Here is a 27,950-nt window from a genome sequence, read left to right on the forward strand (position 1 = left end):
CTAGCTTTGCAGATGAAAGTGTTCAGATTCCTTGGATTTTTACTTTGGATACATGTATTAGATACCTGGGATGAATAACTTCAGTTTAGGTTATATTAATATTATAATAATAAGAATGTTTAAAAACAATTTATCTAAATAGTATTTTACATTTGAAATATTAATATATAATTTGAAAAATCAAAATGAAATCCAGAGAGTTAAGCAGAAAGTTTTTTTAACATAAGATTATATTATAAAGCTTCTTTAAATATTTTTTCTTTGAAAAGACAAAATTAATTTTAAAAAAAGTTTAGATCCAGCATGACTGTCAGCTGAACAGAAGCTGATCAGTCTTCAAATATCATAGTATTTTTTTCTGAATGAACAACTGAAAGAGGCAAAATTTCAAATATATTTTATTCAAAATTCTCCATTTAGGAGAAAAGATATATAACAATGTTTACACATGCTTTAATAACTTATTTCACTGTACAACTTACATTCTGTATAACAGTACAATAAACCAGCCAAAGAAAATAACCAGTTAGCACTTAAATAAGAATCTACCATGTAAAAAACACAGTATGGGACACTACAAGGTAGTATTTATATATTTTTTAAATGACTGAGCTACAGTACAACAGTCATCTAGTTCAGTGGTTGTCTAAAACATCAAGCTGTCCACATCTTTCTGATTCATGATGGGAAAGCTATTATGACCTTTCACATTCGAACATGTCATTTTGTTGTGTAAATTTGGTGGGTGGGGGGCAGAAGGGCTCTATTACCTTTATCCCTTTCTTATAAATATATTTTCCCTTTTATATTACTTCCAGAATTTTAAATAAAATATTTATTTGTGTTTGTGTAACTACAATGTCAACATTGTGTTAGAATTATATTAATCAGTTATTTTATAGCCAGCAAAATGGTCCAAACGCATTAAGAAAACAAAAGATAACTTAGCTCTGCCAAAGTAGCACCTAGGAAAACAGCACTTCAGTAAAATTTCTCCTGCTATTCCTTATAGCCTATTGCAGGCAAACAGCAACAACTTCAAAAACATAGGCAGAAATGCAAGAAGGAAGTACTCAAGGAACTATTTTCTGTTTCTGAAAAAAAGATCTTATTAGTTAGTATATTCTCTAAGGCATTTTATAATCTCAGAGTTGCAATGATTGCCAAAGCAGGTACATGGTAAGACTTAGCAAGAAGAAAACAAGATGAAAATGACTGACCAGTGAAATCTGAACTTGTTCCAAGTAATTAGATTTTCTAAGGAGAAAAAAGGCACAGGAGGTGCACATTTCAATTTGGCTCAAAAATAATGAAAATTAATTTAAAAAGTTGGCAACAATTACTAAAACATAAAATACAATTTCCTTTTACAGAGCTCAACTACATAGAATATCAACAATAGCAAGAACAATAAAATAAACAAAACACCCTAACTGTGGTTCACCAGGAACAAGGACTATAGAGAACTATTAGACATTTCTACAGACTGAATCCCAGGGACTAAATCCACAAAGTAGGATCTAATAATCAATTCCAATTAAACATCTGCTTGATCAATTTTCTTTCTAAAGCTCATCCTATGTTCAAGCTCACTTTCTTTCTGTGGAATTGAAATCATTTAAAGGCTCTAGTTTTCAGTTGATTGCAGAAGTATTACAGTAATTCTACACACCAAAGAATGCCAAAAGATAGAAAGTCAACTATCTGTAAAAGCCAACTCAGATTTCACCTTGACACATGTAAACCATGAATCATGTATTTCAAAAAAACAGTAGTTGTGGTCAAGTTTACATCCTATTATTATATCTTTAAAAGATAGCAATAATATTTATTATATTGTAAACATAGGTCTGTATCCCAAAAGCATAAATCTAGGAAAAGAGACACCCAATGTAATGATGCACCTGACATCCCCTCACAGGCTCTTGTGAGAACTGTAGTGTAACTTACTTAACTGCAATTGCTGAGAGCAGAATTCTGGAGTATGATCCAGGGGAACGTTTCCCCACACCACTGAGCTACTTTACCAGCGATCATGATTGTGATGGAATAGGCTTATTAAGTTACACATTTAAAAAGTCATTAGAACATCTCGTTCTTGCACACTAGTGTAGAAAGGTCTTCCAAAGATAAAAGAGTGTAGGCCTGGTTTAATTTTCTCAGCCAGAGCCATTATTATGTTAAGATCGCCCTCTGCTGTTAAATCAAGGTCTATCTTCAGGTTCCGAAGAGATTTAAAGGGCTTTTTTCCCTTCTGCCTAAAAATAATGGAAAAAAAAAAAAAAAAAAAAAAAAAAGAAGCGCAAAAATTATGATATAGAAAATGTACAAAGGAAACAAAACAAAAAAACAATGTACAAAGGTTTTTCTTCCGTGTAGGAGTTTTACTCACGTATCGTCTTCTATATATTTTATTAGTGTCAAGGCTTTTCTGTGAAGGACAAGTAGAAACTGTGCAAGGAAAGTACTTCTGAGAGATAAGCCAGGTTTCAGCTGAAAGACCTGCAGGGAGAGGAACCATTTCAACACATAATTTGCTCACATTCTACTCGTACAGAAGTTTCTATGACAGTGTTGACAGTGCTTGGCAGACAATACACACTAAACATCTCCTTAACCATTTCCACTGATGCCCCCTAACAGGAGTGTGGTATAGAAGCACTAGGTGTAGGAACAATCTGATATTTTTTTTTTTTTTTGAGACGGAGTCTAGCTCTGTCACCAGGCTAAAGTGCAGTGGCGCGATCTTGACTCACTGCAACCTACACCTCCTGGGTTCAAGCGATTCTCCTGCCTCAGCCTCCCAGGTAGCTGGGATTACAGGCACACGCTGCCACGCCCAGCTAATTTTTGTATACTTAGTAGAGACGGGGTTTCACCATGTTGGCAGGATGGTCTCGATCTCCTGACCTTGTGATCCACCCACCTCGGACTCCCAAAGTGCTGGGATTACAGGCATAAGCCACCAGGCCCAGACAATCTGACAGTTTTTAGAAGTTTTCTAATTTATCTTTAAAAATGCATTCAAATTTTGCATTCTACTTCAGAATACATCCATGTTTACTTCACTTTTAAAACTCATACATAAGTTATTTCGTATTACTTAATTTTTTCTGCCCAAATCTTCAAATAACATTGAAGCTCCTAGAAGATGAGCCTATGGTTTTGAGACATTCATATACCTGTACTTTTGCAGGGGGTGGAGTGGGTGGGTAGGAGTAGAATGTGTGCATATGATGAGGTGGAGAGTGGGAGGGATTTTATGTCAGCTTGAGAAGCATGAAATTCCAGGCCTACGAATTTTCCTTGAACTTCGCAATATGTCACAGACCTCATAGATCTCAATCCAAAATTTCTAGTAAACATAAGGATCTCATTATTTCAAAGCTTTATCTATGACACAGTTTCCTGGCCTGATCCCCAGAATGTTATTATAACAAACTGTAATATATTAAGAAATAAGTTCCATATAATCTACGATTTCCTTCAACTGTGTAATTAAGTAGATATTTTTTAAAAGAATGAAACAATAAAGATGTTATTTAAATAAGTACACTATGTTTCAAAAATATTTTTGAGTCATTTCAGGCAAATAAACAACCTCCCTTTCTCAAAAAAAAAAAAAAAACTTACTTGTTATAGGTTAATGCTTGAATTAAAATGTTTGTTGTTTGACGTATGGAATGCTGCACTCTTAATTGTTAATATACAGGCTCTTCCCCATTAATAAGTCAAAAGGAAAAATCATTTAGACACTTTAGAAAGACCAGACACTACAAAAAGCACCTAATAAAACAGATTAGGACTCAATTCTTAATTCTATCATTTTATAAATGTTAAAATATATATAAAAAATATATTACACTCTATCATAGAGTATATGTTATATATTTTACATATCATATATAACATATACTCTACATAACATAATAGGGTTTTAAGTTTATAACTTTTTTTTAATATATAAACATATATATATCCTACAATGCTGGTAATATGTATATATGCTCGTACTATATATATATACACACACAAACATATATATATACTTGTACTACATATATAGTACAAGCATTGCAGGATATATATATGTATATATTATATCTGTAAAAGCTAAGTCAGATTTCACTTTGATACATGTAAACCAGGAATTCTATGTTTCAAAAAACAGTAGTTGTGGTCAACTTTATATCTTATTATTATATCTTTAAAAGATAGCAATAATATTTATTATATTGTAAACAAAGGTCTGAATTCCCGAAGCATAAATCTAGGACAAGAGGCAACCAATGTAATGATGCACTTGACATGCCCTCACAGACTCTTCTGAGAACTGTAGTGTAACTAACTTAACTGCAATTGCTGAGCAGAACTCTGGGGCATGATCCAGGGGAATATAAATATATAGAACAGGCATTGTAGGATATATTAAAAAAGAAAACATGTCATATCATTCACTCTGACAATCTCAAGTTCAACATTTACCTGATCCAGGAAGGCTTTCACTAGAGTGTCTCTGTGTAAGACATCTTGAAAAATATTCCTGAAGAAAAGAAGAAAATGAAGAAAAGAAAAAAGTTCAAATGTTGAAATGGCCATATAATGCTACCTTCCACAATCCCTCACTTGAGCCAACATTTTAAGTTCTTATAAATTGATATTACATATAAACACATTTGTAAGAATATAGATATATATATTTGGAGACACAAAATATACATTCATTTATTTACTCAAGGATATATTTACATTTTACTGGTGTTTGTCAGGCTAATATGTAATTTTTTCTCTAAAGAATATAAGCAGTCCCCAGTAAGGGTATGTATGTATCTATCAATCTATTTTACTACTCTCATCTTTTAAAAAAAGTAGAGACCCTTAGGCAATTAATAAATAAAACTACCAATTCTTGCCATCTCAAAAAAAAACAAAAAACAAACCAGCAACAAAAATAAGCCACTACCATCAAAAACCAAAACAAACCAAAAAATGTGAAGAAAAATTTGAGTGAGATTAGAGAACACACTCCGATGATTATCCACTGGGTTTGCCTCAACAAGCCCACCATCTGTAAGTAACATGAACCAACTATCCAAGAAAGTACTACCTACCTTGGCAACGACCAGAGTGAGTAGTAGTAATATAATGGCCACTTAAAATAATGTGTGCCTAACACAGCACCTAGGATATAGCAGGTGCTAAAGCAAACACACAAACAAACAGGACTACTTATTCCCTTCCCAGGCCCCACCTCCCTTTCATCTTTTTCTCTTCCATTTTCCCTAGGTTCTACTCAGGCCAGAGGGTAAGAGAACATTTAGTAAGAGGAGGAGTTTTTAACTGAAAGTGGTAGGGATCATCCTATACCTGACCAGAGTGGCAAAAAAAGAGAATGGGTATGTGTAGAAGCAAACAGGAAGGTAGTTCAAGTTTCCTTATCTTAAGAAACGAGTGTACCACACTACAGAAGAAAGAAACCGTAAAGGGGAAAAATATTAGCATTTCGTCATTATTGACTGGGCACTGATAGTGCCCCTTCTTGGGCTCTGGAAAGAGAATAAGGCTTATATTTAATCGAGTGGACTTATTATACCTGTTCCACTGAATGAGTATCTTCATCATAAGTGAATTAGATAAAGCAAGGTGTTAAAAAAGAACATTTCCATTTGTTTGTGTCATCTCTGATTTCTTTCAGCAGTGTTTTGTAATTCTCATAGAGATCTTTCACCTCCCTGGTTAGCTGGATTCCTAGGTATTTTATTCGTTTTGCGGCTATTGTGAATGGGACTGTGTTCTTGATTTTGCTCTCACTTTGGAAGGTGTTGGAGTATAGAGAATGCCAAAACTTTGCTGAAATTTTTAACAGATTTAGGAGTTTCTGGGCAGAGACTATGAGATTTTCTAGGTACAGAATTATACTGCCTGCAAACAGAAATAGTTTGACTTCTTCTCTTCCTATCTGAATGTCTTTCTTTCTTTCTCTTTCCTGATTGCTCTGGCTAGGACTTCCAGAACTATGCTGAAAAGGAGTGGTGAGAGTGGACATCCTTGTCTTGTTACGGTTCTCAAGGAGAATACTTCCAGCTTTTGCCCATTTGGTAAGATATTGGCTATGGGTCTGTCATAGATGGTTCTTATTTTTTTGAGGCATGTTCCTTCAATGCCTAGTTTGTTTAGGATTGTTTGTGATTTTTCTTTTTTGAGACAGGGTCTCACTCCGTTGCCCAGGCTGGAGTGCGGTGGCATGATCTCAGCTCGCTGCCAACCTCTGCCTCCCGGGCTCAAACAATCCTCCCACCTCAACCTCCTGAATAGCTGGGACTATAGGTGCATGTCACCATACCAAGCTAATTTTTTTTTTTTTTTTTTTTTGTAGAGATGGGGTTTCACCATGCTGCCTAGGCTCGTCTTGAACTCCTGGGCTTAAGAGATATGCCCGCCTTGGCCTCCCAAAGTGCTGGGATTACAGGTGTGAGTCACTACACCTGACCTACTGAAGGTTTTTAACATGGAGGATGTTAAATTTTATTGACAACCTTTTCTCTACCTATTGAGATAATCTTGTGGTTTTTGTTTTTAGCTCTGTTTATGTGATGAATCACACTTATTGATTTGTGTATGTTGAACCAACCTTGCATCCCAGGGATAAAGCCTACTTGATCAAAGTAGATCAGCTTTTTGATGTGCTGCTGGATTTGGTTTGCTAGTATTTTGTTGAGGATTTTTGCATCTATATTCATCAAGGATATTGGCCTGAAGTTTTCTTTTTTCTGTTGTGTCTCTGCCAGGTTTTGGTATCAGAATGATGCTGGCCTCATTAGGGAAGAGTTCCTCCTCCTCAATTTTTTGGAACAGATTGAGTAGGAATAATACCAGCTTTTCTTTATACATCAGGTATAAAGAGATGACACAAACACATGGAAAAACATTCCATATTCATAGATAGGAAGAATTAATATTGTTAAAATGGCCATACTGCCCAAAGCAATCTACAGATTCAATGCTATTCCTATAAACTACCAATGATATCCTTCACAAAACCAGAAAAAACTGTTTTAAAATTAATATGGACCCAAAAAGGAGCCCAAATAGCCAAAGCAATCCTAAGCAAAAAGAACAAAGCTGGAGGCATCACATTAGCCGATTTTATACTAAAAGGCTATAGGAACCTGAACAGCAGGGTACTGTTATAAAAACAGACACATAGACCAATGGAGAATAGAGAGCCAAGAAATAAAGCCACACACTTACAACCATCTGATCTTCAACAAAGTTGACAAAAAACAAGCAATGGGGAAAGGACTCCGTATTCAATAAATGGTGCTGGGATAATTGCTAGCCATAGGAATTGGAGTGAAACTGGACCCCTTCCTTGTGCCATATACAAAAATCAACTCAAGATGGATTAAAGACATAAACGTAAAATCTAAAATTGTAAAAACCCTGGAAGACAACCTAGGAAATACCATTCTGGACATAGGCCCTGGCACAGATTTTATGATGAAGACGCCAAAAGCAACTGCAACAAAAACAAACACAAATGGGACCTAACGAGCTCCTGCATGGCAAAAGAAACTATCAACAGAGTAAAAGACAACCTACACAATGGGAGAAAAATATCTGCAAACCATGTATCCAACAAAGGGATATGCAGAATCTGGAAGGAACTTAAAACTAATTAACAAGCAAAAAACAACCCACCCCACTACAAACTGGGCAAAGGACATGAAAATTTTTCAGAAGAATATATACAGACAGCTAAAAAGCATATGAAAAAATGCTTAATATCACTAATAGAGAATTGCAAATCAATTCTCTAGGAATGGCTATTATTAAAAAGTCAAAAAATCACAGATGTTGGCAAGGTTGTGGAGAAAAGGGAACACTTATACACTGCTGGCGGGACTGTAAATTAGTTTAGCTATTATGAAAAGCAGTTTGAAGATTTCTCAAATAACTGAAAATAGAACTACCATTCACCCTAGCAACCCCATTATTCTATATGTACCTAAAGGAATACAAATTTTTCTACCATAAAGACACATGCATGTGTATGTTCATCACAGCACTATTCATGATAACAAAGACAGGGAATCAACCTAAATGCCTATCAATGGTAGACTGGATAAAGAAAATGTGATACATATACACCATGGAATACTATGCAGCCATAAAAACCAGATGGAGCTAGAGGTCATTATCCTAAGTGAACTAATCCAGGAACAGAAAACCAACTACCGCATGTTCTCACTTCTAAGTGGGAGCTAAACACTGAGTATACATGGACACAAAGAAGGAAACAGCAACACCAGGGCCTACTTGAGGGTGGGAGAAGGGTGAGGATCAAAAAACTACCTATTGGGTACTATGCTTATTACCTGGGTAATGAAATCACCTGTACACCAAACCCTCATGACACGCAATTTACCTGTATAACACACCTGCACATGTACACATGAACCTAAAATAAAAGTCAAAAAAAAAATTCCAGTGACCAATTTTTCATGTATTGGCAGTGACTGGAATTATTTTAAAAAGTTAAAATTAAAAATAACAAACATAATTAACATGTAAAAACATATACTTAAAAGTAAAATGACTCTGTGACAATAGACTTAACACACAATCTAGTGGCTGAAAATACTATTTTTTGGACAATTTTATGTTTAGAAAATTTAGAGCTGGATGCAAAATTTAAAAATTCAGGATATTATTTTGTCATGATCAGCAAAATGAGAATAGCTGTCTAACTGTAGTTTGTCAAATCAGCAAAACAAACATAGCTGGCTAAAAATGATTAAGAAATGTTAAAATACACATACATCCTCTAAAAAACAAAACAAAAATACCAAATGGTTGCAAACCCATTCTGCAGTTCACTAAATTTCCTCAAAAAAGCTCCCAAGTAACCAATCAAAAAACGGAAAAAATACTAAGCACTTTAGGAAAAAAGAAAATGTTTCAAGGCACAGATTAATTAGAAAACTTCTACATGTCTACTAAAATTTACCAATATATAAAAACTTACTGACATGTAATTTCAGTTGGACCAATTCATTTTCTAAAACATTCCCCTACTACTTTCTCAAGAACCAATAAAAACTCTGGAGAACTAGGAAAAAATGGGTCCTATATTAAGTCATCTTTCTGCACCTTGAGATGTATAAGGCTGGGGGTCCCTTGAACAAGATATTCCTATTCTATGCTTTTGGTTAACACTTACTGTGTAATTACTGGTGCTCCACAGGTCTGTTACCTAAGCTCAAACTGATTCTGTAGATACATAGGTCAGGCTTATTTGCCCCAATTTTTCTATTGCCTTACACACTTAGACCTGGGTTATTACAGTTAACACTTACTGTTACCTTCTATGTGCCAGGCATTATTGCAAGCATTTTTTTTTTTTTTTTTTTAAATAAGACAGAGTCTCGGTGTTCCCCAGGCTGGAGTACACTGGCACATCATAACTCCCTGTAACCTCAAACTCCTGGGCTCAAAAGATCCTCCTGCCTCAGCTTTCGGAATAGCTAGGATTACAGGCACACAGAAACACATTCCAATAATTCTTTTTTATTTTTTGTAGAGATGGGGTTTCACTATGTTGCCCAGGCTGGTCTGGAACTCCTGGCCTCAAGTGATCCGCCTGCCTTGCACTCCCAAAGCTCTGTTCTTACAGGCATGAGCTACTGTGCCTTTTTTCAACTGATAAAAGAGAAACACAAAAGTATACTATAATTCTTTTCCTGATTTCAGAACATCTTTTAAGTGTTTACTTAGGGTTTTAGGATTATAGATTTATCATCATCATTTTTTTTTTCAAGTTGGGTCCATGCTCAACAATTAATTATCATTACTTTTCCTTTTGAATTTACTGTTCAGGCTTTTTTTTTTAAAAAAAAATAAGAAGTGAATAACAATATAAAATGCAAAGTAAAAAAATGTTCCATTAATATATTTTAACAGTTTTGCTGTATTTTATATTCATATGTCAAGAAAAAAAAGACTTAGAATTACTTCTTTGGTTTTGTTAATAAGTCCATTCAATAACTGTTACATAATAGACTATACACAATGTAGGGGCTGGGGCTGGGGCTGTCTGGTTGGCCACTATTAAGCCCGGTACCTAGAACAGTGCCTAGGAGCTCAATATATATTTATTAAACAAATAGTTAAATATTTACTTTAAGGGTTAATCTTACCTATTTTAGGGTAAACACAATTGTATGGAAAAAGAAGAACATTTAAGAAAAAAATGCTTGATTAAATGTTTCTTCAAGCATAATTCTGCTGGTAATATTTCTTTCTTTTTAAATGCAACTTCTGTTTTGTTTTTATTCGTAAAAGACACAATTTCATATTGCTTGACTACAGTACCAGCAGGCAGAGCATTACGTACAAATCAGGAGTAAAGCTTTCGTCAGTGTAGATGATCGTATCCTGAGCCATGTCTTCTTCTGAAGTGGCTCTCCAGAAGGCTGTCAGCTCGGATCTCATGTATCTACGCTGATTATAAATATGTTCATGACAGGGTGGCATCTGCTTCACAGTATTGACATCCACATCTATGTGTGTGGTGGGATATGGAGCATACATGACTTGCCGGAAAGGCAGCACAAAGCTTCCAGTTGAATCCTGTCAAAATAAAAGGAAAATTTACTGTCTTACATGCCAAACGATATGAATAATTGTTTTTTAATTTTAAAAAATGGTCTCTGATTTAGCAAATCCATCTCTAAAAATTTATCCTAAGAAGCTATTCATGAGTGTGTGCAAAGTTTTAGTGACAGAAGTGTTCAGTATAGCATTGGTTTCAATAGCAAAACATCAGAATGACCTAAGCATCCAAAGGAAGTGGTTAAGTAAATAAAAATGAATTTATTATTTGGCATCTATAGATGAAGTTGTTGAAGTTTGTGTTGATATTCAAAGAGGCTTAGAATCTGCTGTGAAAAAAGCAGATTAGAACATGCAGAGATGATCCAGTGGGGGTGGGAGTCTTAAAGAAAATACATGCAAAAGGGAAAAAAAGACTAGAAAGAGATATACCAAATATTAACAGTGGGTATTCACTGGATTCAAAATTACAAGTGTCTTTTAATTTCTTAATTATTCTATGCACCTCAATGAGTATGTATTTTTATAAAACAAATTTACTTCTTTCCTAATCAGTTGGGGTAGCCAGTTACCATGTAATAATAACCTACTGCGTATGAGGCACTGTGCTATGAACAGAACAGAAGAAAGAGGCTATTTCCATTTTTTTACTATTATAATGCTGTGATAATCATCTTTGTATAATGTCAAAGGTATTTTCTGGAAAACTATATGATTTGTATTTGCATGGAGAACTATTAAATATTTTTTCATTAGATCATAGTTTTGAAATTTCCTCTAGGCATCTGGTATAGGTCCCTTTCAGAACTAAAATTATATAATTAAATGAGAGGGTGCTGAGGAAACAAAAGTATTAAGCACTTTATTATGCCTTTAACAGGAGAAGTTCTAATTTACAGATATGTATAACTCAAATAGAAACTACGTTTCCTTTAACTAGTTTCTATATTTAAATACTATCATTCTGAGTTCATAGCAGCACATTATTGAAAATGCACAAAAGCCTAATATAACTTGTATTTGCAACAATTTTTAAATTTTTTTATTTCATTTTGCCGTGGCTACATCCTCAAGAAAGTAGTCACTATGAGACAATCACATAACCATTAGGAAAGCTATTTCTTCACGTCTTGGGACTATAATTGAAATAACAATAATAGATTCAACAAGGTGAACAACTTTCTTCCCTTTAAGTATTATAAATAATTGCTAATTTACATTTCTCTGTTTTGCTCCTTGACAGTAGACTCAAATAAAAGAAAAATACAATTTTTTTCTAATATATATTATATATAGAAATATATATATTTTAGTACACATACATAGGAATTGCTTAAATCCTATAAGCTTCTTAAAGATGTTTAAAATTTTTTTTCAATAAAATTCAAATCTATTTAGTTAAAAAGAAATGATCTTATTTTTGATGTGCAACCTGATTTAAGCATGTGTTAAAAAAAAAAAAGTCCTGAGGCTAGACATGTAGGAACAGGGACCCACCTGGAACACAAAGGGTATTCTATGGTGTTTCACTGATGATACTAACTATAAATCCATAAGACATATAGTCTATGTGCAGAACTGTGTAAAGGAAGTCAGTCTCTGGGCATGTCAATATGAGATACATTAAATGCTAATATTTAAGATTTGTCTATAAAGAGTCTCAAAAATGATTTTAGAAAAGTGGTTTCACTTGTGATAACTAGAAACTATACCTTTAGCAGGCCTTGTACAAAGAGCCCTGACTCATATTTAAATGATGATTCTGCTTCACATAACCTGGAGCATTTTCTCTCTGCTGGAGTCAGAAAAAGGCATAATGTTCTGACTATCTATAAAAGAAAATATTTTAGCATTAAAACATGAAGTAAAAAGACCACTGATTTGCTTATGAAAGATATCTGAAATTTTAATTGTTATTATCAATAAAACATATCCTAAGAAATAAGTATTCTTTAGTCACCTGGAATCCATGGGATGTAACAGTTGTTGCTTAAAATAGGGATTCTGTGGTCAAATAAATTTAGAAAATGCTTGGTAAATTTACTGTATGGCATCTCAAAACCTTTAACATTTGGCTACATACTGTGACTCTTCAGGTGAATTATATCATCTGCAGACTTTCTCAGACTTATTTGACCATGCAACTTTTATAGCTTCTGTTTAGTGGGTCTACACATGAAATTCGTTGTAAGAAATATCAAAGAATGTCCAGATCCTCCAAAAAGAAGAGAATTAATTATTGAATTTGATTTAAAATAAGCAGGTCATTGGGTGGGATTTAGAAATCTGATTCTAATAATATTTGACCTACAGCTCTATTAGGAAAAATAAAAAGGCATGTAACTATCTTGAAATTCAAACCATATCCACAGTTATTATGTTAAAGGAGTGGTTTTCAACCTAGAGTGGTGGCAACTTCTTTCTCAAATTAAAACAAGATAAAAGGTAAGCTATTCTCCCTCAAGAGGATGGAGGATGGGAAAAATGTTTAAAAAAAAAAAAAAAAACACTCCAACTATGGAGCCTTTCTCCCTTCATAAAGCAGCTCGGCAGTCACTCTGTGCAACCTAAGGCTTTGGAGATCACAGATGGAAAGCCACCTGTTTGAGGTAACAGAAGGAATAAGGTCACTAGTTCGTAGATGCAATATAATGACACAGGTATACTAAGCTCTCATAAATGGTTATATGAGAAATATAAATTAAGGCTCATGTAAATATACAAAGTAGCTGATTACAAAAAAAAATTATGAATATCTTTGTAAAGTATCATTTCCAACATATTTCCTATGTAAAACTTTTTTTAAAAAATTAGGTTTGCTGAAATTGAAAGATACACATACTTATCTCTGAACTCTTTCTAACTAATGGTCAGTGAAGAAAAGTGCAAAATCCTTTAGTTTATTAGCTAATGCTTGGAAATGTAACTGTTCATTAATCCTTAATTAACTCAAGTAGCACTGAAGGAAAGGGTCAGAAACATTACTGAATAAAGTATAATAATCAATGACCACTTAATCCCAATAGCTCCCTAGAAGGGACAGATTTAGAAGGAAAGCGAAGACAATGAAATCAAGATGAATAAACAAATAACATTTCTTTGGAACTACTACCAAAAGTACATGACTATCTTCAGATTTGTTAAAGATAACATTGGGAAATAGAAGAGTAATTTTTTTTATATATCTGATTTTAATATATTCTCAAAACCATTTATACACTACTGACACTGGTATTTCCGAGCTATCAAAATAAACTGATAAATGATTCTTACTCAGTTTATTTCAAACTCACTGTTGCCACAAGGTGTCTTAGCAATTTGATGAGATTACATTGCCTCCTTATACTACTAGATCATTTTAATTGCAACCTACCATTTAAATGACAATCCATGATATATCATCAGTCTTAAAGAGTCAAATCATTTGCTAGATTATAAAATAAACTACCTTATTTACTTTCTCTGCACTGCTACCTACTACAACGGAACAGCCACAGGTTTGCAAGTGTGAGCTGATGGCACTGTAAGTTAAAGAAAACAGATTAAAAACATTGCCTATAAAACAATTTAACAAACTAAAAACAAAAAAAAGTAGGTGAGCTCTTCAAATAACTCAGAATAGCTTTATATGATAAACACCGAAGCTATAAGCACAATGTTATCTTTTATTTGTATAGGAACCTACATTTTCTAGAGACCTTTCACAGAAATTTTCTTATTGAGCCTTAAAACAGCCCAATTAGTCAGTATAATATCATTTAATTAATGTATTTATTTATTGAAATACCATCATTTTATAGCTGAAGAAATTGACATGTAGAGAGATTAAGTGACTTACTTAAAGTCAAATGGGATTTAAAATGATGTATGAAAGGCTGACACTGAACAGATACAGGACTAAAGTGCTTCTGATTCAAGCCATTAAGGCTCTTAGGTTAAACACACTCATGCCTCTGATACTCCATCATGAGCCTAAAGGAAAAGACTGTGAACATAAAAGTGAATACTTTATACTTTTACTTCTCTTTTATTAAAAGTAAAATTTCATGAAAATCTGTAACTGTGAAGAAACTTTAAAACAGAATATAAGATAATACATGTAAAGCAACTAGTAAAGGAACTAACATGTAGGCACTCAACAAATACTGGCTATTTCTAGAAGAAATGTAAATAGGAAATGTTAGCTATGAGCTATTATTAAGTGTTTTTATGTTCCAGGCACTGTTCTAAGTGCTTTATATTATTTATCTTACTCAATGCTTATAACAACCCTACACATTAGGTACTATTACTATTATTGCCATTTTACAGATGAGGAAATAGGTGTATAGAGAATTCAGGCACCTTGCCCACGGGTACACAGCATTAATCCAGGGAGTCTGGTTTAAGGGCACAAACTCTTAAGTACTAAACTCCACTGCTGGATGGAAAAAGATCAGTATAAATATGAATAATTTTGTTCTACGCCTAAATAACTTAAGTTCATCTACAGTACAACTTAATATGAAAGGATTCTGTTAGCTTTAATGAGAAGTAAAACAAGAAACCAGAATCAAGCAAGGGGCCATGATTTCTTGTCTGGGATGGAAACTCGGTTTCTTTAAATAGCAAATGGAATAACACCAAATATATATAGAAATATAATGAGTGAAAAATAACACAAATTTAAGCAACAGTTCAAATACGTAATGTCCCTAGAACAATCTAAGTAGACAGTCTGTTATTTTCTTTCTTCCAAATCTTGTCATAGGTGAGCATAAGATGGTATCTGCTTCATCCAGCTTTTATGAAAAGAAAAATTCTTACTTGAGAAGAAAGCCTTCATGACAGCTGTCACCAATATCATCATCATTGAGTACTGTATCAGCTATCTAAAATGCATCAAAAAATAAAAAAATTAGTCTGGCTGTAACATAGTGTTGAAATAACACTTTTAATATACAAGTTTTCGGAAGTCTGGATTCAATATAACACACTGCCTTCATTTCCGAGAATCAAGACTCCCCAAAAAACAATCTCTGTGCACTACCATAAACTTCAGAAGAACAAATGTGAAAGCTGGTCAAGCAGGTTAAACAATTTTTACAAGAACAACTTCCTCTTCTGAGCTGTCAGAATCAGGAGACTAACCTAAATGACAAAATCAGAAAACAACAAGAATAGTTTCCTAAAGGTATCTCTTAACACTCATAGTGTGTGATTCAAAACGTCCTCAACAAATGATTAAGGAAACTAAATTTGTGACTACAAGTAAACTTCCATTAATGGTTACTACTTTGGCACACAGTTTTGTTTCAAAAGACACTACATTAAATATTAATTGCTCCTATAAGAGCTGGGATCCTCCCACTTTTAGGAATTATAAAAGTAATGAAATAAACAAAATGAATTTAATTTTGTCATCACTGATCAAAAATGCCTCTGTTTTGCCATAAAATCCAGGATTTTGTGTGTGCTTATTTGCTAAAGTGGCTAATACTGTATGTGAATAGTATGTATGACAAAGTCCTTACTATTAAAATTAGAATATTAATAATATACATAATAATACTATAACCCCAAAAAACTCATAAAGTGTATAATTGCTCTCATTTAAACTTACATCTATTTCTTCAGGAACACTGTGTGATTTCATAGATGAAAGCAGTTCCATTACAGGAATCACTTCTCCAGTAAGCATTGGAATAATACTCTGACCCTGCACAATAAAGTGACATGAAGTGAAGAAAATCACGTAATATGAGAGAAGCTGGGCAATAAAAAATAAAAATAACATCAAACAATAACATTCTTTGATGAAAATACTTCGTAATTTGTTCAAACACAGTATCAAACAAGTCTACTACATGTCTAAAGGATTTATATGCAATCCAAAGCTCACTTTTATTCTTTCTTTTCTTTTTTTTTTTTTGAGATGGAGTTTTGCTTTCATTGCTCAGGCTGGAGTGCAATGGCGTGATCTCAGCTCACTGCAACCTCTCCTCCCAGGTTCAAGTGACTCTCCTGTCTCATCCTCCCAAGTAGCTGGGACTATAGGTGCCGCCACCATGCCCGGCTGATTTTTGTATTTTTAGTAGAGACGGGGTTTCGCCATGTTGGCCAGGTTGGTGTCAAATTTCTGACCATGCCCGGCCCTAAAGCTCACTTTTATTCTTTAGAGAGTATGGAATCATTGGTTTATCGTTTACTGTTACATGCAATGATTAAGTCATCATGCCTCTTTTAGAAAAGATCTCCTTTAAAATTTGAGATAAAAAAAATTTGTTAAAGGTCATCAATATATTTCATATTTAAAAATGAGGAAAACCAAGCACAAAAAGACTTTGAAATCCTTACCAAATAGGTAAGGAAAACTTGAATCAATACCTAACCTCCATACTCATAAAAGTATAATCTACCCAAATGCAAATCAAAATCAGCACATATATTTTAAGAATCAATAAAACAGAAAAATTCCCTTTAGAGCTATTTCAAGATATTACTACTTATTACATCTTGAAATTGTAATTTTGAAATTTGTAGTCTATAGAATCAAACTGAAAATTCAGTATAACACATCACAAATGTAAAGTGTCTCAAATATGGATGGTCCCTCATTTATTCACTACCACCACCAGTCTCATCAGTTTTGTGACCAACTTGGTTAAGTAAATTTTTTGAGATATAAATGAAATTGTCAAATGACTATGCATTTTTAGCTAAACATATTTTTTAAATCATACATTATTTAAGATGAATTTAATACTAGTTGTTTTTCCTCACTTATTTTATGAAATGATTTTACTCAAAGTCTTCATAAGCATCTTTAAGTTAGAATCTTTGTCAGACCCAGGGCCATTTTTGGAGTAACCTTAACCAGTTTTTCAGAGCCCCATATTATTAAGTTGCTTGAGAATTTAAATGTGATGCTACTTCTGGAAGTTTTATCCTAAGCCATATGCCCATTTGCATAATGCTGAAAGTTTTATTTAAAAAAAAACCATCCTTTAGTAACCTCCACAACTAACTATTCACTGTTTTTAGTTTTTAAAGTAATAATTATCATGCCTGTTTACAATTACAATTCACACATTCAATCTAACAAGAATAATGACTAGATCCGTGTTAAATTTCCTTCCCTGTGAAGCAATTTTATCAGATGACAGCTACAACTGAAGTTGTTTCAAACTAATGCATCATCCCCAAACAGTATTGTTCAAAATAAAGTCGTTGTGAGATTTGCAAGAACTCAATCAAAAGGCAACTCCTCCTTTTCGGGAAGAATAATTTTGGGAAAATATTTCCTCTTAGGTTTAAGCATACATAGTATTTCATTCACAGTATCTCAGACATTATCAGTATAAGTGAATGAATAGCCTCACTGAAGCTCAACAACACCAAAAAAAAAAAAAAAAAAAAAAATCCTACAGGGCTAAATACAGAAGAGGCTCTAAAAGAAAATCTCTTAAGTTTCTATTCCTCCTTGTACTTCCCAAACTTGAACTTCTCAGCAGTAAGATAACATTTTTAAGAAGAGCACTTAAAAGAGAGACCAAAATTCATTAATAGTAGTCAACTTAAGTAAAGGTTTCTGGTTTGAAAAAACAAAATCCCAGTAAAAGCAGAATTTTAGTTGGTTCTAAGTTTCCTCAACTTGCGATAAGTTTACTTAATTAGTCTACTAATAACTAGTGGGTTAGAGGGTGCTGAAAGTTACCCCATTCCTGGGGACCCTGCTTATTGACCAGCAAATAAGGACTGGGATTCTTTGGGTAAAGGGAAATCTTTTCTTGTTAAGTCAGACCTTTACACAGAATAACTGTCTCTGAATTGGAAAGCTATCTACAAAAGTACAAACATAACAATTTGGTAAAGGAGATCATTGTATTGGGTTCTGTATTATGGCCATGTATTTTCACAAGTTTTTTTTTTTAATTACTTTTTTAAAGTATCATCTGTCTCATTCATGCTAAAAAGAAGCAAAGAAAGGCAAAACAGCCATGTTTAAAATATTGGAGTTTTACAAGGAGCATTGAGGGTCACCCACAAGAGGAAATGGAAGTAAAAGTGAAGAACTCTTTCTTCACTGGAGATTCTCCTTCAAAAGAACTTCTCTGCTTTACAGTGAAATAGTCTGTACTTAGTTTCCGCAGGGGAAGCCACACCCTTGTAACCATGCTTCTCAAACTCTTAGTGTCTGTTCCTGAGGGGCATTCAAAGCCAAGGGATAAACATGGCACATTTTCCTAGAGGAGAGGGTAAGAAATATCACTGACAAATTTTAATACTAAAATAGTTATGGAATAAAATGTAAATTGCATGAGTCTTAACGATACAACATAAGACTTAGAAGAAATATTGTGTGGACCTGGGCCTACACCCCAGACAGATACCTCAGGGGTACATATGCTCTCCTTCTGTTACAGCTACTTCTAGGGAAAGGTTCGAGAAGTAGTACCTTAAAGAACATATCAGAGACAATTTTTTTTATTTTTACTATGAACAAGTTATCCAAAATTTATTCTGGGCAAACAGAAAAAAAAAGGGAGCAAATATTAATTTGTAGATGCAATTACTATTTTCCTTTGTTTACTGATTTAACTCTTTGGGTTTAAGATATGGAAATCTTCCTCCAGTTTATTCTGTACACCTCCATAAAAGCTCCATTAAAGGCTTATTCGTATGTCTCCAAGGCCTTGACAAATGTAGCCATCAACCTTATACAGATACATGCTGTGAGAAAAACATTTGACAGTATGCAATTTGCATATACCTGATCTTCCATTCTCTCTGTGCCTTCTAAGATAATCTTCTGGACATTTTCTTGTCTTTCCTGAGCAAGAGAAAATTTATTTAAAAAAACAACCCACAACATTTTGATACTTGCTTATTTTTCAATAGACATGTTCTTGTGTAGTAATTTAGTTCACAAGAAAAATACTTTCTACTTTAGGGAAAAAATGGGGGCAGGGGTAGGAAATTAACCCAACAAATGCATGTTCTCATAAACAATACAAAATAAAATCAAAACAACCTTTATTCTGCAGTGAAAAAAAGATAACTTCACAGAAAACAGTCAATGTAACATCTGCATAGTTTCAAAAAGGAAAAGAATGACTTGCACTTTTCAAATTAAACATTATGATGTTGTTTAAAAGATTCTCCTGATTTTAAGAGTTTCATAATGTGAGAAAAAAGGAAGTAAGCCTGCAAACATAGTAAAAAATTATTCTTTTAAAAGATATTATTTTTCCTTACTATTGGGCAAAAGCCTTTTAAAACTGGTAATGCTTAATGGACTTTCAGGTTAGTATCAAACTGGAACACAGGAAGGAGAATTCAATGTGTTCTTTAGATACATCAAAACTATACTGAAATGTAAATAGCATTATATATTCAACTACAGGATTTAGGAAAACAATAATTTCTGTAAGATTAAAAGGAATTCTCTTGGGAACCATTCCATTCAACCTCCTCATTTTATGAACCTGGGAACTTGGCAAAGAGGTTAAAGAGACCAAAGGCTACATGACCAACAGCTTATGAAACTATTACTTTGAACTGTTATACTTACACATAGTAGTAAGCAAAAGACAGAATTGTGCAATGAAAGGGAAACAAAAGGTATTAGAGTCAAAGGCTCCCAAGAAGAATCCAGGGTCTAAAAGTTTCTTTATTTGTCTAAGCTTTAGCTTTTCATCTATAATGTGGAGCTACCATTTCGTACCTTCCACAGTTAATATGAAGATGACAGGTATCAGACCAGATGTATTTGTATCTAATAGGGTAAATGCAAAATAAATAACATTTATTGTTTGATGTTCACTGCATATAATTAAAAAAATAAGATTTATATGTACCAGAAAATAAGCTTTCAACAGATAGGTTAACATGATTAATAAGCTGAAAAATCACTTACCTTATGCATCCATATTCTTCCTTTCCGGATTATATGTGTTAATCTATCAACACACACTCTATGAAGTGGGAGGTAGAAACTAAGTTCTGTCTGTGGAAGTATAATTGATAGTCCATATGTGCTGCGATCCCCATTCCAGTTTCCATCAAAGATTAATGAAACAATAATCACTCCCTTTTCAGACAAGACAAAAAACTTTACATCTATAGCACCACTCTCTGCATTTCGAAGGATTTCTCCATTTAGAGTGTGGTTGGCAAGAAAAGTTATTTCTCCATCACTGAGAAGTACCTGTTCTGTCTTTGGAGCCCAAATGTGCCTTACTCTAGGACCAAGAATATTGTCCCAGTAAGCAAAAGTAGCTGCTAATAAAGGTGATTTGCCACTTAAAGCAATCTCTGTCTTGGCAACAGCTGGAGATGGCGGTGGGCAAAGAGTCGACATCACTGCATTCCAACTGTCACATTATCCAAATGCTCCGGAGATATCTAAACAATGACATATGAAACCAATGATTAGGTTCAGCAATTTAAAGATATCCATCAAAACCCCAAATGATTTAGACATATTTGGTTTGTCCTCTTAAGTCAAAGATGTGGAATCCTGTTATCTCCTATCAGGATAAAGACATTCAACTAGCACAGTAGGTGCACATTAAATGTTTGTTGATATGATCATTTTACAAGACATGGTAACTTGTTACTTATATTCAGGGCATACATTTAGAAATTCAAAGAAATAACTTAAAAAAGGGCTTCTTTACACTGATATTAAATGTTACATACTAAAGCTCATAGAATAGACCCGCAGTATTCCCAAATATCCAGTCCATGTGCAATTCTAGTATGACTGGAGATTTGGCCCCTAACCCATAGCAACTAAAAAGGAGAAAAACAGGAAGGGAAAGGCTCAGCTAGAGACTGACACTTGTGGGTTGAATTGTGTCCCCCAAAAAGATATGTTCAATTCCTAACCCTTGGTGTACGTGAATGTGACCTTATCTAGAAATAAGTGTAATCATGTTAAAATGGGGTCATACTGGATTAGAGTGGGGCCTAATCCAATAACTGCTGTGTTTATAAGGAGAGAGATTTGGAGACACAGAGACAAATGGTAGACAGCCATGTGAAGACAAAAGGCAGATACTGGATTGTTGAAACTACAAGGCAAGAAAGGAACACTCAGGATTGCTGGTAACCACCAGAAGCCAGGAAGAGGCAAGGAAAGAGTCTTCTCTCTTGAAGATCATGCCCCTGTCAACACTTTGATTTCGGACTTCTAGCTTCTAGAATTGTGAGAGAATAAATTGCTGTTGTTTAAAGCCACTCAGTTTGTGGTGCTTTGTTAAGTAATCTTAGAAAAGTAATACAACACCTAACAACAGAAATACTTTAAAGCCGCTAAAAGGTCAAAAAAAAAAAAAAAAAAAAAGACATGGAAATACCACAAGTCTGGAGCCATAACAAAAAATGGGCAAACAGTCCTGTATCCTCAGTGAACTCTCTGGTTATGAGAATACTGAAGCCCGATCCTGATGTTTAAAACGACATTGAAGTATCAAGACAAAGATAAAAATATTTAATATGCTAGCCAAGAAACCAATACAGCATTTCATCACTGCAAAGAGAGTTCTACACTAAATGGCTAGAATTTAAAAGCTTTAGTTATTTAGAACACGTAGAAAACAGAAGGGCTAAATAGGGCCCGTTCAAGCCTTTGAATTTAATGAGAAAACAGACATGAGGAGAAGAACATAAACGCTCACATCCAAGACAGAACCCAGGGCTCTTGGTCCCCTTGCTCAACTTGTACATCTTAATCCACATAAACATACCACTCTAAAAAGGTACATCCTATGTGATATTAATGTAAAACAAATCATTCTTGCAAATACAGTTATGTGCCATGTAACGTTTCAGTCAATGGTAGACTGCATATATGATGGTAGTCCCATTAGATTACAATGGACCTGAAAATATGCTATTGCCTTAGTGACACTGTAACCATCATAAGGTCTTAGTACTATTTTGCAAGTTATTTAAAGTATAGCACATACAATTATTACAGTGTACAACACTTGATAATAAACTACTACATTGCTGGTTTATGTATTCACTATACTATGCCTTTTATTGTTATTTTAGAGTGCACTCCTTCTACTTTTTTTTTTTTTAAGTTAAATGTAAAACAGCCTCAGGCAAGTCCTTCAGGAGGTATTCAACAGAAAGCACTGTTATCATAGGTGACAGCTACATGTGTGTTATTGCCCCTAAAAACCTTCCAGTGGGACAAGATGTGGAGGTGGAAGGCAGTGAGGTGGAAGGGAGTGATACTGATGATCCTAATCCTGTCTATGCCTAGGTGAAAGTGTGTGTGTTTTAGTTTTTAACAAAAACGACTAACAAGTAAAAAAAAAAATTTAAAATAGAAAATAGAAAAAAGCTTCTAGAATAAGGATACAAAGAAAAAATATTTTTGTATAGCTATACAATGTATTTGTGTTTCAAGCTAAGTATTTTAAAAGTTAAAAAATTAAAAAGTTTACAAAGTTAAAAAGTTATAATTTTTTATTGAAGAAAAACTGTTAAGATAAATTTGGTGTAGCTTCAGCGTACTGTGTTTATAGTCTACAGTGGTGTACAGTGTTCTAGGCCTTCACATTAATTCACCACTCACTCACTGACTCACCCAGAGCAACTTCTAGTCCTGCAAGCTCCATTCGTGGTAAGTGGCCTACACAGGTATACCATTATCTTTTATACCATACTTTTACTGTACCTTTTCTCTGTTTGCATATATTTAGATAAATATTTACCACTGTGTTACAACTGTCTATAGTATTCAGTACAGTAACAGTTGTACAGGTTTGTGGCCTAGGAGCAACAGACTATACCATACGGCCTAGGTACATAAAGGCTATACTATCTAGGTTTGTGTAAGTACACTCTATGATGTTTGCATAATGACAAAATCGCCTAATGATGCATTCCTAAGCAATGTGTGATTGTACTATAATTGAAGACTTGTTATCTAAGACTGAAAGTAAAAAGAATTGCAATTTCACCTAAGCAAGTCTAAAACTGTGAAGTCTATTTATAATAATAGCAATACAAAGCAGCTAATAGGCAAACTATGATATACCTATCTTTGCCATATGATTGCTTTGGGAGCTAACATTTGATCTGTAAATGTATGACAAAGTAAACAATTTTACTTAAAGAATTTCATCCACATCTTGTCAAGAGAGTTCAGTCTGATGGAAAGCACTGACTTCTATTTACAGAGCATTAGATGAGTGCTTTTATCATATTATGAGTAGGCATACAGAGCCTGGCAAAACAGTTAACTCTAAGTATGTACAGAAATGGTTGAACACAACGACAGTTTTAACACGTGTATTTGTAATTTCAAAAATTCATTTAGGTAATATTTACTTTTAAATATGTTGTATCAATTTAATAGTCTTAAGAGACAGCACTAGATATAAGCCGTACAGCTTCTTTAAAATATCCACTGTTTTTAATACAATGTAAGCAGTCAGTTTACAATGATCAAATATAGGAATGTAATCTGAATTGAAATGGTAATGACACTACTGCTGTCATAACTAACAACAGCAAACTGGAGGCCAACATAATGAATTAAGTTAACATACAACCATAAAATTATATTGCAAACATATTTTTCTTTCATTCTTTTAGGTTAAAAAGGTGGATAATCATAAAGGCAATATTACAACTCTAATATTTCATCATTAAACTGAAAATAAAAGTATTTCCTAAAACAGAACTGAACCCTGGAGCAAAATCTGATTGAATTATAGGGAAACTTTTACCACGTTGTGAAAATTGAACTATTATACTGCTAGTTACACTCTCACTCCTAACAGAATAAGAAAAAAAAAATGGGCCGGGCATGGTGGGTCACACCTGTTATCCCAGCTCTTTGGTAGGCCGAGGCAGGTGGATCACCTGAGGTCAGGAGCTCAAGACCAGCCTGGCCAACATGGTGAAACCCCACCTCTACTAAAAATACAAAAAATTAGCCGGGTGTGGTGGTGGACACCTGTAATCCCAGCTACTCGGGAGGCTGAGGCAGGAGAATCTCTTGAACCCGGAGGTGGCAGAGGTTGCAATGAGCTGAGATGGCGCCACTGCACTCCAGCCTGGGCGACAGAGAGAGACTCTGCCTCAAGAAAAAAACAAACAAACAAACAAACAAAAAGAATAAGAAAGAAAATGAAGGACAAAGATCATACTGAATTGCTTAGTTTTAAATCCTACCAAAAGAAATAGCCTGGGAAATGAAATGTCACAGAGAAGTATAATCAGGAGAGCTGTACAATTATTTTACTAATACTTGAAGTCATCGTCTTTGGTGAGAAAAATCCATACATGCAAATGCAGCTGAAAAAAATCAGCTCAAAACCAATAGTTGTTTATGTACCTATCTTACGTACATGTAGTGCTGTCTACTCCAGAGAGTTACCAAACATTAGCCAGTCTTTTGAGGGAAGCCAAGATTCAAATTGAGTGAGACGGTGGCTTGCTCACAGGGTTCATGAGAGGTTTCCCAATACACTTTCTGGAAATAATCCCATACATGCAGACATGATTACATTAATTAACATCTGCTAAAACTGTTAGTAGAGTGCTAAGTTTGAGGTTTTGCTTTTTCTTTAAACGTCTGTTAAAAAATCAACCATCTCTTCCCTGATTGGTATTTAGAAAGGTGGTTGGTCCACTGCTATTGTAGTGAAAATTCTACAATCATAAAGCCCTCACTTCTTGTTTTTTAGAGACAGGGTCTCGTTTTGTCATCCAGGCTGGAATGCACTGGCAGGATCATAGCTCTCGGTAACTTCAAACTCTTGGGCTCAAATGACCCTCCTGCCTCAGCCTCCCAAGTAGCTAGGACTACAGGTGCACATCACCACGCCCGGCTAAGTTTTTAATTTTTTGTAGAGACAGGGTCTACGTTGCCCAGGTTGAGCTTGAACTCCTGGCTTCAAGTGATCCTCTTGCCTCCGCCTCCCAAAGCTCTGGCATTACAGGTGTAAGCCACCTTCTCCAACCTGGCTCTCAATACTTGTAACCATGCTGTTTATTTTCTCCCAGCCCAAAGAGAAGCAGGATCCTAAACCGTCCACTTTCCACAACAGGAGCTGCCCAGGACCACTTCAAGGACAGTGAACTGTTTACAGTACCAGAAAGTTCACAACACTTTCTCAATCTTCAACATCAGGGAAGACTGGAAGGTGAAGTTCATATCACTATCTGGCCATTTCTCACAGTTCCAAGTTTCTCAGACAATAGGTAGGCTAACCTAGTCCTCCTGGGAACTATCTAATTAACGTAGAATAGAACCCGAGGGCAGACTTGAAAAACAGAAGTCCTCCTTGGTTTACTTTGTTTCTCTGAAAGCAAATTGTGGAGTGCCAACATAGCCAAACAAAATATTTTATCAACTTCATAAGGTGCTTGTAATTTTTTCCTGGAGCAGGTAAATGCTGGCTTAGTGAACAATCTGGAATGTGGTAATTACTCTCGTTCTTGTTTCAGATGTACTATCAGCATGTAGCAGTTTCCAACTGATTCAGGGTTTTCCTAAAGTGGCAGGCCTTGGCAGAGGTGGTGACAACAATGCCCGTGTCAAATGACACCGTATTTCAAGTATTCTGACTCCAGGTTATTAATATCCCCTATATGATAGTCTTGTTTCTGTGATATTCACAGATTATGTTAAAAGTTTCCCAAAGTCTGAGAAAAATCATATCTTAACAGTATCTTTTTTTTTTTTGATCCTTTGTACAAAAGTAGAAGTAATGCCAGACAGATTACGTACCCTTGTTGTGAACAACTGGTGCATGGCAACTGTTTGAATAGAAATTTACCAACTGCCACAACCAGGCAACTACTCTCCCAGAGCCTAACAATCTCGATTGCATCTGAAAGGGCCACCCCTCCTGGGAAAGTGCAGGACCTCCCTCCTGTTTCTGAATACAAAGCCTGGTGGTGTTCAACGCGGCCAGATAGACCCAATGAGCACACGGACATGTAATCTGTGCACTTCTTTAGACAACTGATTACCATCAGTCAAGTGATGCCCAAGTCACAATAGTCACTTCCTTTAAGCAAGTCTGTGTCATCTCGGAGCTGTGAAGCAACCAGGTCATGTCCCACAGAATGGGGAGCACACCGACTTGCATTGCTGCCCTCATATGCAAGTCATCACCACTCTCTAGAAGCTTGGGCTGAAATTGTGCAGGCGTCTCCACACCCCCATCTCATCCCGCATGATCTCCTCGCCGGCAGGGACCGTCTCGGGTTCCTAGCGAACCCCGACTTGGTCCGCAGAAGCCGCGCGCCGCCCACCCTCCGGCCTTCCCCCAGGCGAGGCCTCTCAGTACCCGAGGCTCCCTTTTCTCGAGCCCGCAGCGGCAGCGCTCCCAGCGGGTCCCCGGGAAGGAGACAGCTCGGGTACTGAGGGCGGGAAAGCAAGGAAGAGGCCAGATCCCCATCCCTTGTCCCTGCGCCGCCGCCGCCGCCGCCGCCGCCGGGAAGCCCGGGGCCCGGATGCAGGCAATTCCACCAGTCGCTAGAGGCGAAAGCCCGACACCCAGCTTCGGTCAGAGAAATGAGAGGGAAAGTAAAAATGCGTCGAGCTCTGAGGAGAGCCCCCGCTTCTACCCGCGCCTCTTCCCGGCAGCCGAACCCCAAACAGCCACCCGCCAGGATGCCGCCTCCTCACTCACCCACTCGCCACCGCCTGCGCCTCCGCCGCCGCGGGCGCAGGCACCGCAACCGCAGCCCCGCCCCGGGCCCGCCCCCGGGCCCGCCCCGACCACGCCCCGGCCCCGGCCCCGGCCCCTAGCGCGCGACTCCTGAGTTCCAGAGCTTGCTACAGGCTGCGGTTGTTTCCCTCCTTGTTTTCTTCTGGTTAATCTTTATCAGGTCTTTTCTTGTTCACCCTCAGCGAGTACTGTGAGAGCAAGTAGTGGGGAGAGAGGGTGGGAAAAACAAAAACACACACCTCCTAAACCCACACCTGCTCTTGCTAGACCCCGCCCCCAAAAGAGAAGCAACCGGGCAGCAGGGACGGCTGACACACCAAGCGTCATCTTTTACGTGGGCGGAACTTGTCGCTGTTTGACGCACCTCTCTTTCCTAGCGGGACACCGTAGGTTACGTCTGTCTGTTTTCTATGTGCGATGACGTTTTCTCACGAGGCTAGCGAAATGGGGCGGGGCAACTTGTCCTGTTCTTTTATCTTAAGACCCGCTCTGGAGGAGCGTTGGCGCAATAGCGTGTGCGAACCTTAATAGGGGAGGCTGCTGGATCTGGAGAAAGTGAAGACGATTTCGTGGTTTTGAATGGTTTTGTTTGTGCTTGGTAGGCAGTGGGCGCTCAACACATAATTGGTGGATGAAATTTTGTTT

At 35.8% G+C, this 27,950-nt stretch overlaps 1 protein-coding gene across 3 annotated transcripts, besides 5 other annotated features; it reads right to left on the minus strand.

Moving 5' to 3' along the window:
- Positions 382-27,702, minus strand: C9orf72 (C9orf72-SMCR8 complex subunit). 3 transcript variants are annotated; one of them, NM_001256054.3, is made up of 11 exons: positions 27,545-27,702; positions 20,513-21,000; positions 19,367-19,426; positions 16,217-16,312; positions 15,421-15,485; positions 14,063-14,135; positions 12,327-12,443; positions 10,397-10,632; positions 4,486-4,543; positions 2,393-2,502; positions 382-2,258 (listed from the first exon to the last, which is right to left on the minus strand). In NM_001256054.3, the coding sequence occupies exons 2-11, from the start codon at positions 20,954-20,956 to the stop codon at positions 2,072-2,074; spliced, it is 1,446 nt and encodes a 481-aa protein (NP_001242983.1). In that variant the 5' UTR covers positions 20,957-21,000; positions 27,545-27,702; the 3' UTR covers positions 382-2,071. The 3 variants fall into 3 exon arrangements, with proteins under 3 accessions (NP_001242983.1, NP_060795.1, NP_659442.2); NM_018325.5 differs by lacking the exon at positions 27,545-27,702 and adding an exon at positions 27,267-27,317; NM_145005.7 differs by lacking the exons at positions 382-2,258; positions 2,393-2,502; positions 4,486-4,543; ... (1 more) ...; positions 12,327-12,443; positions 14,063-14,135 and having other exon boundaries at positions 14,260-15,485; positions 27,623-27,702.
- Positions 26,711-26,800: an enhancer, noted in NCBI's record as "active region_28254". NCBI's record gives its function as "activates an Ori minimal core promoter by ATAC-STARR-seq in GM12878 lymphoblastoid cells {active_cell/tissue: GM12878}" and the evidence as "EXISTENCE:reporter gene assay evidence [ECO:0000049][PMID:35858748]".
- Positions 27,311-27,390: a silencer, noted in NCBI's record as "silent region_19822". NCBI's record gives its function as "represses an Ori minimal core promoter by ATAC-STARR-seq in GM12878 lymphoblastoid cells {active_cell/tissue: GM12878}" and the evidence as "EXISTENCE:reporter gene assay evidence [ECO:0000049][PMID:35858748]".
- Positions 27,321-27,382: a tandem repeat, named in NCBI's record as "chromosome 9 open reading frame 72 repeat instability region".
- Positions 27,365-27,382: a repeat instability region, noted in NCBI's record as "repeat instability region; expansion of the (GGGGCC)n hexanucleotide repeat (GGCCCC relative to the plus strand of the reference genome) is associated with frontotemporal lobar degeneration with amyotrophic lateral sclerosis (ALS/FTLD)". NCBI's record gives the evidence for it as "EXISTENCE:polymerase chain reaction evidence [ECO:0000082][PMID:21944779, PMID:21944778]" and "EXISTENCE:Southern hybridization evidence [ECO:0000078][PMID:25476002, PMID:21944778]".
- Positions 27,399-27,926: an enhancer, noted in NCBI's record as "OCT4-NANOG-H3K27ac-H3K4me1 hESC enhancer chr9:27573561-27574088 (GRCh37/hg19 assembly coordinates)". NCBI's record gives its function as "activates a minimal SCP1, AML or CMV promoter by ChIP-STARR-seq in naive H9 embryonic stem cells {active_cell/tissue: H9 hESC(naive)}" and the evidence as "EXISTENCE:reporter gene assay evidence [ECO:0000049][PMID:30033119]".

This window comes from Homo sapiens, chromosome 9 (assembly GCF_000001405.40).
Source record: "Homo sapiens chromosome 9, GRCh38.p14 Primary Assembly".
Lineage (NCBI taxonomy): Eukaryota > Metazoa > Chordata > Mammalia > Primates > Hominidae > Homo > Homo sapiens.

What these genes read in the sequence shown, in the direction of transcription:
- C9orf72 (NM_001256054.3), bottom strand. Translation starts at nt 20,956, where the DNA reads ATGTCGACTCTTTGCCCACCGCCATCTCCAGCTGTTGCCAAGACAGAG. An exon ending in GTGCAGAGAAAGTAAATAAG is followed by an intron (nt 12,444 to 14,062) that starts GTAGTTTATTTT and finishes TTTCTTTTATAG; the next exon opens with ATAGTCAGAACATTATGCCT. An exon ending in TGAAAGCCTTCCTGGATCAG is followed by an intron (nt 2,503 to 4,485) that starts GTAAATGTTGAA and finishes CTCTCCCTGCAG; the next exon opens with GTCTTTCAGCTGAAACCTGG.